The 12738-nt window shown below is 42.7% G+C and overlaps 1 protein-coding gene and 1 pseudogene across 11 annotated transcripts in view, besides 1 other annotated feature; one reads left to right on the top strand and one right to left on the bottom strand.

The window, feature by feature from the left end:
- UBAP1 (ubiquitin associated protein 1) overlaps positions 1 to 12738 on the bottom strand; it is a 73519-nt gene that overhangs the window by 18081 nt on the left and 42700 nt on the right. For 8 of the 11 annotated variants that reach the window (NR_033243.3, NM_001171201.1, NM_001171204.3 and 5 more), the window contains one exon: positions 103 to 227. The exons of the other annotated variants lie outside the window; for them this stretch is intronic. Coding sequence is in view for 7 of the 8 variants with exons in the window: in NM_001171201.1 (NP_001164672.1) it covers positions 103 to 227 (125 nt within the window). In the remaining variant the exon portion in view is untranslated. The remainder of the gene's footprint in view (positions 1 to 102; positions 228 to 12738) is intronic. 11 annotated transcript variants of the gene reach the window in all.
- Positions 9792 to 10512, top strand: RPS8P9 (ribosomal protein S8 pseudogene 9; annotated as a pseudogene).
- Positions 12105 to 12305: a silencer, noted in NCBI's record as "peak7226 fragment used in MPRA reporter construct". NCBI's record gives its function as "represses an SCP1 promoter by STARR-seq MPRAs in K562 erythroleukemia cells {active_cell/tissue: K562}" and the evidence as "EXISTENCE:reporter gene assay evidence [ECO:0000049][PMID:32103011]".

Here is a 12738-nt window from a genome sequence, read left to right as displayed (position 1 = left end):
GATTCAGCTCACAACTGTAATTTTTTCTATTTCACTATACATCAAATTCTTACTCTTTAAACTTTTAAATGCACTAAACTTTAACTAAAAATTACCACTTACCTGTACTTCTCTGACAACCTGCAAACAATCAGGCAAGGAGAAGCCAATAGGTAGACCAACTTTAGCTGGTGTTTTGAATTTGTCTCCTGTCTTAAATGGGACATCATCAAGGTAACTGAAAGTCCCTATAATCAAAAATAAAGTAGAAAATATCAGCAAAGAACTTCATTATTTGTTTTGCCATAATCTTATGTCTAACGGATATGCATTAATTTTTGCTATCCTAAGTCTAGAAGTTACAGAGTTCCTTCTCTGACTGCTTACCTTTTCCTTGACCCTAAATCTCTGAGAAGGAAATTCTACTGATTCAGTCTTATTAGGAGTTTATTTTCAATGGCACTTAGTGTAAAAGCCAAAGTACTCACATCACCCACAGCCTCTCTGCCCTCATCTCCTTACAGTCATCCTCTGGCTCACTGTACTAAGTAATGGTGACTGCTGCTTTTAAAGATGACAGGCTTAATCCACCTCAAATACTCTGTACCAACTGTTCCTTCTAACTGGAACACTCTTCTGTCACATGACTCACTCCTTCAAGTTTTTGCTCAAATGTTACCCTCTCAGTGAGGCTTACCCTGACCCGCCCTACTTAAAAGTACTACCCCACCCTCACTACAATACTCTCATATTACCATTTACCTTTTCCCCATAACACTTATTGCCTTCTAACATTATAAATTGACTTTTTAATTATATTTATTGTTTCTCTTTCCCAAAGAAATATAGGGCAAGTATTTAAGTCTATCTTATTCAATGACATATTTTCAAAACCTTCAGTATTGCCTGGCACACATCAGCATTTAATAAATACTGAATGGATGAGACTCCCCAGAAAAGAATCTCCTTGATTAGGATTCTCTACTTTAGAAAAAAATCATTTTCAATTAATATAAAGAATTACTCCCAGCCTGACCAACATGGTGAAACCCCGTCTCTACTAAAAACACAAAAACTGGCCAGGCATGGTGGTGCATGCCTGTAAACCCAGCTACTCAGGAGGCTAAGGCAGGAGAATCGCTTGAACCCAGGAGACGGAGGTTGCAGTCAGCCGAGATCGCGCCACTGCACTCCAGCCTGGGCAACAGAGCAAGACTCTGTCTCAAAAAAAAAAAAAAGAAGAGAAAGAATTACTCTAGCTTAAAAAACACTACATTCTAGAACAACATGGAAATCCTTAAGCAGCACAACACTTACATGAAAAGGGGAAAACCCGACAAAATCATGGGATTCTGAGTAAGATCATCAGGAGCACAAGCCATACACAATGGAGCTGCTTTAATCTCCTACAGGTTCTTTGCCCATCATAACTGAACAACATGGAAAGACCAGAACATGACCATCTATTCACGGGGTCAGATAAAAGGAAAACGCCTCTTATATGAGACTCTCGATAGCTATATACTCCAAACAGGGCCATGTTTTCTTTTCTGGAGCAGCTCTGGGAGGCTAATTTACAGGCAGAACCATTGTGGACAATGAAATACAGTTGATAAAATAAATTTTGTTTTTCAACATTGGCAGCTGGTAAAGGAAGGTTTACCTCTCAGCCTCACACTATTTTCTTGGGTGCTCACAGACACAGAACAAGACAATTATACCTCTTCCATGAAGATGACTTCTTTCCTTACGAAAACTGTGTAGATCTCAAGAATTATCAAGGTCAGAAAATATTTGTAATCTTGTCATCACTCCCATTTCCTGGGATAGGTATTCTGCAGATACACCTGAAACTCTCCATTAGGAAGAATGCCCCCTACTCCCAACCCTTGGGGGAATGGGTGTCTTTTCCATCTCTTTCCCATCTAACTTCTGGCCAGAACTAAAACATTTGAACTATCGCTCACTTAGCTAGCAAATTAAATTTACAACTGTGATCAATTTAGTAATTTAACACTCTAGGAAATCACCATATTTATTAACACCCTAGGAATTTTCCAAGTGTGGTCATCCTTTTAGATGTGCTAATTTCATGGCTGGCAATGCCTATCACATTCCTACCCTTATTTACTTGAGTAATTATTATTTAGCCCTTTAAGAAGAAACTCAGGCCGGGTGCAGTGGCCCATGCCTGTAGTCTCACCCCTTTGGGAGGCCAAGGCAGGTGGATCATCTGAGGTCAGGAGTTCTAGACTAACCTGGCCAACATGGTGAAACCCCCTCTCTACTGAAAATACAAAACTGCACCGGGCGTAGTGGCACACGCCTGTAGTCCCAGCTACTTGGGAGGCTGAAGCAGGAGAACTGCTTGAACCTAGGAGGCGGAAGGTGCAGTGAGCCTCAAGAACGACTCCTTTCTCAACCTCAGAATAGCCAGTTAATACTACCACCTTAGGACTTACCTCTTTGTATTGTTAATAGTTCATTTCCTTAACCTCCCTTCAGAGAGTCTGAGCAAGAATTTGAGTGTCCCGGCCGGGCACAGTGGCTCACGCCTGTAATCCCAGCACTTTGGGAGGCTGAGGTGGGCGGATCATGAGGTCAGGAGATCAAGACCATGGTGAAACCCCGTCTCTACTAAAAATACAAAAAATGAGCCGGGCGCAGTGGGGGCGCCTGTAGTCCCAGCTACTGGGGAGGCTGAGGCAGAAGAATGTCGTGAACCCGGGAGGCGGAGCTTGCAGTGAGTCAAGATCGCACCACTGCACTCCAGGCTGGGTGACAGAGCGAGACTCTATCTCAAAAACAAACAAACAAAAAAAAAAAACAAAAAAATTTTGAGTGTCCCTTAACAGGGGAGAAATGTTTCATATCTATATCACCAAAACTCAGTATAATGTATGGCTCATGGAATTTGTTCAATGAATGAAGAACCAATAATAAAGACATGCTTTTGGCCGGGACCGGTGGCTCACGCCTGTAATCCCAGAACTTTGGGAGGCCAAGGCAGGTGGAGGTCATGAGTTCGAGACCAGCCTGGCCAACAATGGTGAAACCCCATCTCTACTAAAAATACAAGAAATTAGCCAGACATGGTGGCACATGCCTGTAATCCCAGCTACTCGGGAGGCTGAGGCAGGAACCTGGGAGGCAGAAGTTGCAGTGAGCCAAGAACGCACCAGTGCACTCCAGCCTGGGCAACAAGAGTGAAACTCCATCTCAAAATAAATAAATAAATAAAGACATGCTTTTATACTTCTTCTGGATTCAATCTAACCCCGACCCCAACACACACACACACACACACACACACACACACACACACACACACACACATAATTTTTTTAAAGAGACATTTGCCCAGGCTGGAGTGCAGTGGTGCTATCATGGCTCACTGCATCCTTGCCCTCTGGGTCCCAAATAATCCTCCCACCTCAGCCTCCTGAGTAGCTAAGACAGGGTCTCATTATGTCGTCCAGGCTGGTCTCCAACTCCTGGGCTCAAGCATTCTTCCCGCCTCGGCCTCTCAAATTGCTGGGATTACAAGCATGAGCTATCACACCCAGTTCCAACTTATATTTAATATGAAAATTGAAAATTATTTGCCCAAAAATGACAAGGCTAGTCATGAAAATGTTTTTAACAGATTACTCATACATGATACAAGCATATGTCTGAGATCTGAACAAAGTTACAAAAATGTACCAGACAGATGTCATCCCCCGCCCCAGCACCACCAAAAAAGTGCCGGGTGCCATCACAGCTTACCAACAAAACTAAGTGTTGATTACAACACTTAAACTCTATGGCACTTATAAAATGCTTATATTTTAAAAGATTAGAACAAAAGCTCTTTCTAATTTTAAAGAATTTTTGTCTGTTTTCTTTGAAAATAGGGACTCAAATGTTATTGAAAGATTCTAACTTTGGCTAGTATCCTGATTAACTGGAAACAAAGCTGAAACTTTGGCACTAAGAATCATTGGAAAGATTTACAGTCAAGTTAACAAGCACACAATTAAGTCTTTTGTTTAACACTAATAAGCACAGATGATACACAAAAATGATAAAATCTATCCACATTAATAATAACTATATTTGGCCAGGTGCGGCAGCTCACGCCTGTAATCCCAGCAATTTGAGAGGCCAAGGCAGGCGGATCATGAGGTCAGGAGTTCGAGACCAGCCTGGCCAGCATGGTGAAACCCCGTCTCTACTAAAAATACAAAAAAATTAGCTGGGCATGGTGGCGTGCCCATGTAATCCCAGCTACTCGGGAAGCTGAAGCAGGAGAATTGCTTTAACCCGGGAGGCAGAAGTTGCAGTGAGCTGAGATCACACCACTGCACTCCAGCCTGGGCGACAGGGCGAGACTCCATTTCAATAATAATACTAATAACAACTAAATTTTCTTAAATAACCAAGTTCTATTGTAGATTGGTAACAAGGAGTTGGAGAAAAACTACAAAAGTACTGTGCTAAAGATATGAGGCCAGCGTGGTGGCTCACGCCTGTAATCCCAACACTTTGGGAGGCAGAGGCGGGTGGATCACCTGAGGTCAGGAGTTCGAGACCAGCCTGGCCAACATGGTAAAACCCCGTATCTACTAAAAATACAAAAATTAGGGGCCAAGCATGGTGACTTATGCCTGTAATCCCAGCATTTTGGGAGGCCGAGGCAAGCAGATCATGAGGTCAGGAGATTGAGACCATCCTGGCCAACATGGTGAAACCCCATCTCTACTAAAAATACAAAAAATTAGCTGGGCGTGGTAGCACGTTCCTGTAATCCCAGCTACTCAGGAGGCTGAGGCAGGAGAATCTCTTGAACCAGGGAGTCAGAGGCTGCAGTGAGCCGAGATGGCTCCACTGCACTCCAGCCTAGTGACAGAGCAAGACTCCATGTCAGGCCGAGTACAGTGGCTCATGCCTGTAATCCCAGCACTTTGGGAGGCTGAGGTGGGAGGATCACGAGGTCAGGAGATCAAGACCATCCTGGCCAACATGGTGAAACCCCATCTCTACCAAAAATACAAAAATTAGCCGAGCATGGTGGTGTGTGCCTGTAATCCCAGCTACTCGGGAGGCTGAGGCAGGAGAATCGCTTGAACCTGGGATGCAGAGGTTGCAGTGAGCCAAGATCACGTCATTGCACTGCAGCCTGGGCAACAGAACAAGACTCCATCTCAAAAAAAAAAAAAAAGATAAAAATCCTATAAGAGAAGTGATCTCCTTGCCTACCTTTCACGTAGCAAACTACTACAGTGTGATATACACTGACAAACTTATATTCTATAAATGAAACTAGGTCCTGGCTTAGGGACAGAAAAGATGAGGTAGAATACCTTTAAAGGGCTGCCGTTTCCCTTCACTAGCACCAATTGCAGGTATCTGGTTTAAAAATCAGTTTCCTTTCACTAATAAAGCCAATGCCAAGGTGATTTATTTAGTACATCCCCCAACCCTCCAGGGTCTTCGTACTTTAAAAGCTTTATTAAGAGAGAATGAACAAATAGTTCAGTGATTACTGGAAGGAGGAGGTAGGGATAAAGGGCAAAAAGGCATTTAAAGAGATGGGAACGTGGCCAGGCACAGTGGCTCACAGCTGTAATCCCAGCACTTTGGGAGGCCAAGGCGGATAGATCACTCAAGGTCAGGATTTCAAGACCAGCCTGGCCAACATGGTGAAACCCCCGTCTCTACTAAAAATACAAAAAAAAAAAAAAATTAGCTAGGCATGGTGATGCACGCCTGTAATCCCAGCTACTCGGGAAACTGAGGCAGGAGGATCACTTGAACCCAGGAGGCGGAGGCGGCAGTGAGCGAAAATCACGCCACTGAACTCCAGCCTGGGTGACTGAGACTCCATCTCCAAAAAAAAAAGGGGGGGGGGGAAACAAAGAAAGCAGTATTTGTAATAATGGATAGAGACCACCGTAAGTACTATTAATGATGGTGCTGTGAGAATTACAAAATATATGTCTTCCAAATATAACCAATTATGCCTCAGGAATTAGCTTTTCTTTTTCTTTTTTTTTTTTTTTTTGAGATGAAGTCTCGCACTGTCGCCCAGGCTGGAGTGCAGTGGCACAATCTCGGCTCACTGCAAGCTCCGCCTCCTGGGTTCACGCTATTCTCCTGCCTCAGCCTCCTGAGTAGCTGGGACTACAGGTGCCTGCCACCACGCCTGGCTAATGTTTTGTATTTTTAGTAGAGATGGGGTTTCACCGTGTTAGCCAGGATGGTCTCGATCTCCTTACCTCATGATCCGCCCACCTCGGCCTCCCAAAGTGCTGGGATTAAAGGCGTGAGCCATCGCACCCAGCTTCTTTTTTAAGACAGGGTCTTGCTCTCTCACCCAGGCTGGAGTGCAGTGACGTCATCACCACTCACTGCAGCCTCATTCTCCTGGGCTCAAGTGATCCTCCCACCTCAGCCTCCTGAGTAGCTGAGACTACAGGCATGCACCACCATGCCCAGCTAATTTTTTAAATTTTTTTGTAGAGCTGAGGGCTCACTTTGTTGCCCAGGCTGGTCTCAAATTCCCAGACTCAAGCAATCCTCCCACCTCAGCCTCCCAAAGTGGAATTGTCCATTTTTATCCAATGTATCTAGAATTTAAAATATTATAGCTAACAATTTTCTGCCTCAACCTCAAATACCTTTTAGTTTCAGTCCTTATTACTGAAAATCTTCCTAAAATATTTGCACCCATTTTCCTAAGTTCAATTTTTTAAATAGCCACTAAGTGCATGCCTCATGGCTGCGGTTGTGGCAGTTCCTTGAAGTTAGGTTCTGCATACCACTTTGGTGGAAGATAGTGAGTGGGCTGAATATGTAATGACTCAGGATAAACTCTGGGAAGACTTCATTTGCTTTGTTTCTTTCTAAATTGCTGATATGCCTATGATTCTGCAATCTGCCCGTTTTTTCTAAAAAAAGTACAATTCCAGGTGGGGGGAGAAATCCCCAATAGAGGATAGCAAATGCATAATATTTAATTCAGGTATTATTGTGAGGAGATTCAAATTGAGGTTTTTTTAAAAAGAAGATCAAACTTAAAATTAAGTGAAAATCTGTAATTCCATGACTGGTTATCACCATCTTAAAGCCATCAGCGCCTCCTGCAGCAAAGGACTTAAAAATAAATAAATAAATAAATAAAACAAAAAAAACTATCTTAAAGCCACAAGCCAGGTAACACTGGCAAAATCATAAATATACAAAATAACATAGATATCTGTTGTAAGATGTGAAATCACAAGAAAATGTTACTCATATCCTAACAACAAAACAAGCCATATAATCTACAAAATCAGCTTTTTAATATACATTGTCTGGCATTCAATTAAAAATTATAAGACACAGAAAGAAGCAAGAAAATGTGATCCAGAATTAAGAGAGGAACCAGTCATCAGACCCAAATTCAGGGAGAGCCAAGATATTGTAAACATCAGACAGGGAGCTTTAAAATAACAATAATAAATATGTTAAAGGGTCTAATGGAAAAACTAAACATGTGTGAGCAGATGGGAACTTCAGCAGAGAGATGGAAATATAAAGAGACAAATGGAAATGCCACAAGTGAAAAATGCATTATCAGAAAAGAAAAATTTTGATGGTTCATAAACCAGGCTATGCTAATCCGAAGACAATAATCAGCATAAGAAAGACTTGGGACTTGAAGTTAGGTCAAAAGAAATTAGCCAAACTGAAATACAAAGAGAGAAAAAGGGAAAAAAAAAATTGAACAGTGTTAAGAGATATCTGGAACAATACCAAACAACCTAATGCATATGTGATCATAGCTCACTATAACCTTGAACTCCCAGGCTTAAGCAATCCTCCTGTCCCAGGCTCCTGAGCAGCTAGGACTATAGAGAAGCTCCACCACACCTGGCTAATTTTTAATTTTTTGTAGAAACAAGGCCAGGCGCGGTGGCTCATGCCTGTAATCCCAGAACTTTGGGACGCAGACGCAGGTGGATCACCTGAGGTCAAGAGTTCAAAACCAGCCTGGCCAACATGGCGAAACCCTGTCTCTACTAAAAATACAAAAATTAGCCAGGCATGGTGGTGCGCACCTATAATCCCAGCTACTCAGGGGGCTGAGACAGGAGAATTGCTTGAGCAATTGCTTGAGGAGGCAGAGGTTGCAGTGAGCAGAGATGGCACCACTGCACTCCAGCATGGGCGACAGAGCGGGACTCCATCTCAAAAAAAAAAAAAAAAACAAGAAACGGGGTTTTTCTATGTTGCCCAGGCTGGTCTCAAACTCCTGGCCTCAAGCAATCCCTCCAGCCCACCACACACACACACACACACACACACACACACACACACACACACACACACACAATAGAGTAGGAGGAAACTTTAGAAGGTAATGAATGTTTATGCCTTAATGATGGTGATGGTTTCATGAGTGTATACTTATCCTCAAACTCATCAAGATGTATACATTAAACATGTAAATATGTACAGCTTTTTATATATCAATTATACCTCGATAAAGTGATTTAAGGAGGGGGGCTAGTTTTATCAAATCTTATCACGGGGTCTATTTTTTCATAAATTAGAGTCTCAACACATTTTCCAGATAAATAACCTTTCTCCTAGATGAAAATAAGAATCAGTGAAAGAGGATTGAGATTTCTTTTTTCTTTTCTTTTTTTTTTTTTTTTAAGATGGCGTCTTGCTCTGTCACCCAGGCTGGAGTGCAGTGGTGTGATCTCGGCTCACTGCAAGCTCTTCCTCCTGGGTTCACGCCATTCTCCTGCCTCAGCCTCCCAAGTAGCTGGGACTACAGGCACCAGCCACCATGCTCGGCTAATTTTTTTTTGTATTTTTAGTAGAGACAGGGTTTCACCATGTTAGCCAGGATGGTCTGGATCTCCTGACCTCATGATCCGCCTGCCTCAACCTCCCAAAGTGCTGTGATTACAGGCATGAGCCACCGCGCCCAGCCAGAGGATTGAGATTTTAAAGCACCAGGCTCCAAGAAAGTCCTTATCCAAACTAAGCGAAGGGTATGGAGTTTTTATAAGAAATGGATAATATTTCTAGAAGTTTGAGAAATAACTGTTTGTTTCCCTTATTCTGTTATTTAGGGATATATGGTCACTAGTAACAGTGAAGTTGTTCAACTTTAGTTGAAAATAATGAACTCAGAGGTAAATCAAGTGCTAGTCAAAGACAGCACAGCACCAGACCTAGTCAGTCCCAAATATTAAAAAGAAAAAAAAATACATTTTAATATCCGTCATGACAGCAGTTATTACCTCCTTGTCCACACCCCAAGTGCCACAGAAAAGTTACCCACATCCATTAACCTCTCAATGGATCAGTCAGATATCTAACTTTGGAGGACCAATCCACAGGCTCATAAGCTAAGAAGGCTATGCCATCAGTTTGCCTTGACCAAAAGATATAAAATCTCTATCTCTATGATGCTAGCCACTGAAACTGAAAGATCAAGTAGCAAGCAGCACCTTAACTGGGGTGGCCATTTATAGCCCTGTGTACTCTACACTATTAGGCCAAGAAAGCAAGTCTATGAACTGAATAATAATGGATCACAGACACAGAGACATATAGTGAAGAAAGGCTAAGCAGCTTCCTGAGAAGTGGAAGGAGTAGCCTTAGTTCCTGGCTTTCTAATTTTAGCCTTGAGAGAGCAGAAACTTTATTTTCTGTACTCACATGCCTGCACAATTGCCTATTAAATATTCTCCATCTACTGCCTTTCATTTCTATTATTTAAACTACCTGATATCTAAAAATAGGATACTTTACTCTAAAAACCCAACTAGCTCTTTCCAGCCAGCGCCGAGCAATGGGCATCTCTCGGGAGAACTGACACAAGCACCGCAAGACCGGGGGCAAGAGAAAGCCCTACCACAAGAAGCGGAAGTATGAGCAGGGGTGCCCAGCTGCCAACACCAACATTGGCCCCTGCCACGTCCACACAGTCCATGTTTGAGGAGGTAACAAGAAATACCGTGCCCTAAGGCTGCATGTAGGGAATTTCTCCTGGGGCTCAGCGTTGTATTTGCAAAACAAGGATCATCGATGTTGTCTACAATGCGTTTAATAACGAGCTGGTCCATAACAAGACCCTGGTGAAGAATTGCTTCATGCTCATTGACAGCACACCATACTCATCGACAGCACACCGTATGGACAGTGGTACGAGTCCCACTATGCGCTACCCCTGGGCCACAAGAAAGGAGACAAGCTGACTCCTGAGGAAGAAGAGATTTTAAACAAAAAATGATCTAAAAAATTTCAGAAGAAATCGATGAAAGGAAAAAAAAAGGCCAAAATCAGCAGTCTCCTGGAGGAGCAGTTCCAGCAGGGCAAGCTTCTTGCGTGCATCACTTCAAGGCCGGGACAGTGTGGCCAAACAGACGGCTATGTGCTAGAGGGGAAGGAGTTGGAGTTCTATCTTAGGAAAATCAAGGTCCGGAAAGGCAAATAAATCCTCGTTTTGTCTTCACCCATGTAATGAAGGTGTTTATTGTTTTGTTCCCAAAAAAAACCCAAAAAACAAAAAAACAAAAACAAAAAAAACAAGTAAAGCCAGTGAAATTCAACCAGGAACTCAGCAAAAAGAGCCCTGTTAAAGGAGAAGCAGCCTAAGGGAGAAAGAAAATTTTTCTCCTAAATTTTACTCAGGTAGAAAGTTTCATTTAAACAATAACACTTTGGGCCGGGCACGGTGGCTCACGCCTGTAACCCCAACACTTTGGGAGGCCAAGGCAGGCGGATCACGAGGTCAGGAGATCGAGACCATCCTGGCTAATACGGTAAAACCCCGCCTCTACTAAAAAATACAAAAAAATTAGCTGGGCATGGTGGCAGGCACCTGTAGTCCCAGCTACTCGGGAGGCTAAGGCAGAGAATGGCGTGAGCCCAGGAGGCAGAGCTTGCAGTGAGCCAAGATCGTGCTACTGCACTCCAGCCTGGGCGACAGAGCGAGACTCTGTCTCAAAAACAAACAAACAAACAAACAAAATAACACTTTGGTTAAGAATTCTTTTTTTTTTTTTTTTGAGATGGAATGGAGTGCATTGGCACCATCTCAGTTCACTGCAACCTCTGCCTCCCAGGTTCAAGCGATTCTCCTTCCTCAGCCTCCCGAGTAGCTGGGATTACAGGCATGCGTCACTACACCCGGCTAATTTTGTATTTTTAATAGAGACAGGGTTTCTCCATGTTGGTCAGGCTGGTCTTGAACTCCTGACCTCAGGTGATCCGCCCGCCTCGGCCTCCCAAAGTGCTGGGATTACAGGCGTGAGCCACCATGCCCAGCCTGGTTAGGAATTTAAGGAGATATGGGAAATACCAGTCTTTATGAACAGACACCTTCAGAATTATAATCTTCTCTCTGGAATGTTCAGTTGAAACACAAAACATGTGGTCCAACTATTTTCAGTCTGATCAAAACAGATGTTCCAAAGATTCAAAACAGAAAGTCTATCTTTTGAAATAAGTGTAAATTTTTCATTTTTGCTATTTTCTCTCCCTAAGCTTTTCCTCTGCCCTTGGCTCTGTCCTCTCTTTTCTCCCTTGAAAAGGTAGGATCTAGAGGGAATTCAGATCTGCCTTTTTTTCCCTTTTTCTTTTCTTAAGCTCAGTGGCAAGAATCATTTTTTGTTTGTTTGTTTGAGACAGGCTCTCATGTGATTCTGGCTGGAGTGCAGTGGCGTGATCATGGCTCACTGCAGCCTTGACCTCCCGGGCTCAGCACTACTCCCACCTCTCAGCCTCCCGAGTAGCTGAGACTACAGGCACATACCAGCATACCCAGCTAATTTTTAAAATTTTTTTGTAGAGACAGCGTCTCACTATGTTGCTGAGGCTGGTCTTGAACTCCTGGCCTCAAGCGATCCTCTCACCTCAACCTCCTAATCTACTGTTGGGATTACAGGCATGAGCCACCGTGCCCTGCCCAGATCTGCCTTTCTACTATCATTTGAATACTTTTAAGAAGACCTGTAATAATCCATAAATAATAGGAAATAGCTCACCTGAAAAATAAGATGCCTGACCTCTTTAAGGAATGCTAATTCCAGAGTTTGAATAACTTCAAAAGGATTTTTAAAAACTCAGGCAGGTTATCTATGTAAGTATATGCACACTGACAAATCAAAATTCAAAGGCTGTTGTGTAAAATATATAAGCAAGTAAAATCACAATCACCGCTACACCACTCTGACTCAGCTGAGTGATCTTATCAAGCAACCACTGGCAGCTCAGAAGAGCATACCAACACGTCCCCAGGCAGTCTAGTAAATCATTCTTAAAATGATGTGATATATATATGTATTTTTTTTGTTTGAGTCAGGGTCTCACTCTGTCACCCAGGCTGGAGTGCAGTGGCATGATCACTGCAACTTCAAACTTCTGGGATCAAGCAATCCTCCCACCTTAGCCCCCTGAGTAGCTGGGACTGCAGGCACATGCCACTGTGCCTGGCTGATATAATTTTTAACATGGAAGATTGGCTTTAAAACCTCTCTTAAAATAATTGTGTTACTTGGCTACTTCTGGTTTTAAATTCTTACCTTCTACTGTATGAAAAAAGGGTATAATTTTAACTTCTTAGCTACCTCCACCTCCCTCCATTCCCCTCCAAAGGCAGATAGTAGTTTATTATTGTATTCCATTTTGGAAGGTTGTATCTTAGGAAAAGATGACAGAGAAACTCTTAATTTCAAATTCAAAATTATAAATATCAGTATTGATACCTCTGTA

Source organism: Homo sapiens, chromosome 9 (assembly GCF_000001405.40).
Source record: "Homo sapiens chromosome 9, GRCh38.p14 Primary Assembly".
Classification (NCBI taxonomy): Eukaryota; Metazoa; Chordata; class Mammalia; order Primates; family Hominidae; genus Homo; species Homo sapiens.
This window is presented reverse-complemented; position numbering and strand designations above follow the sequence as displayed.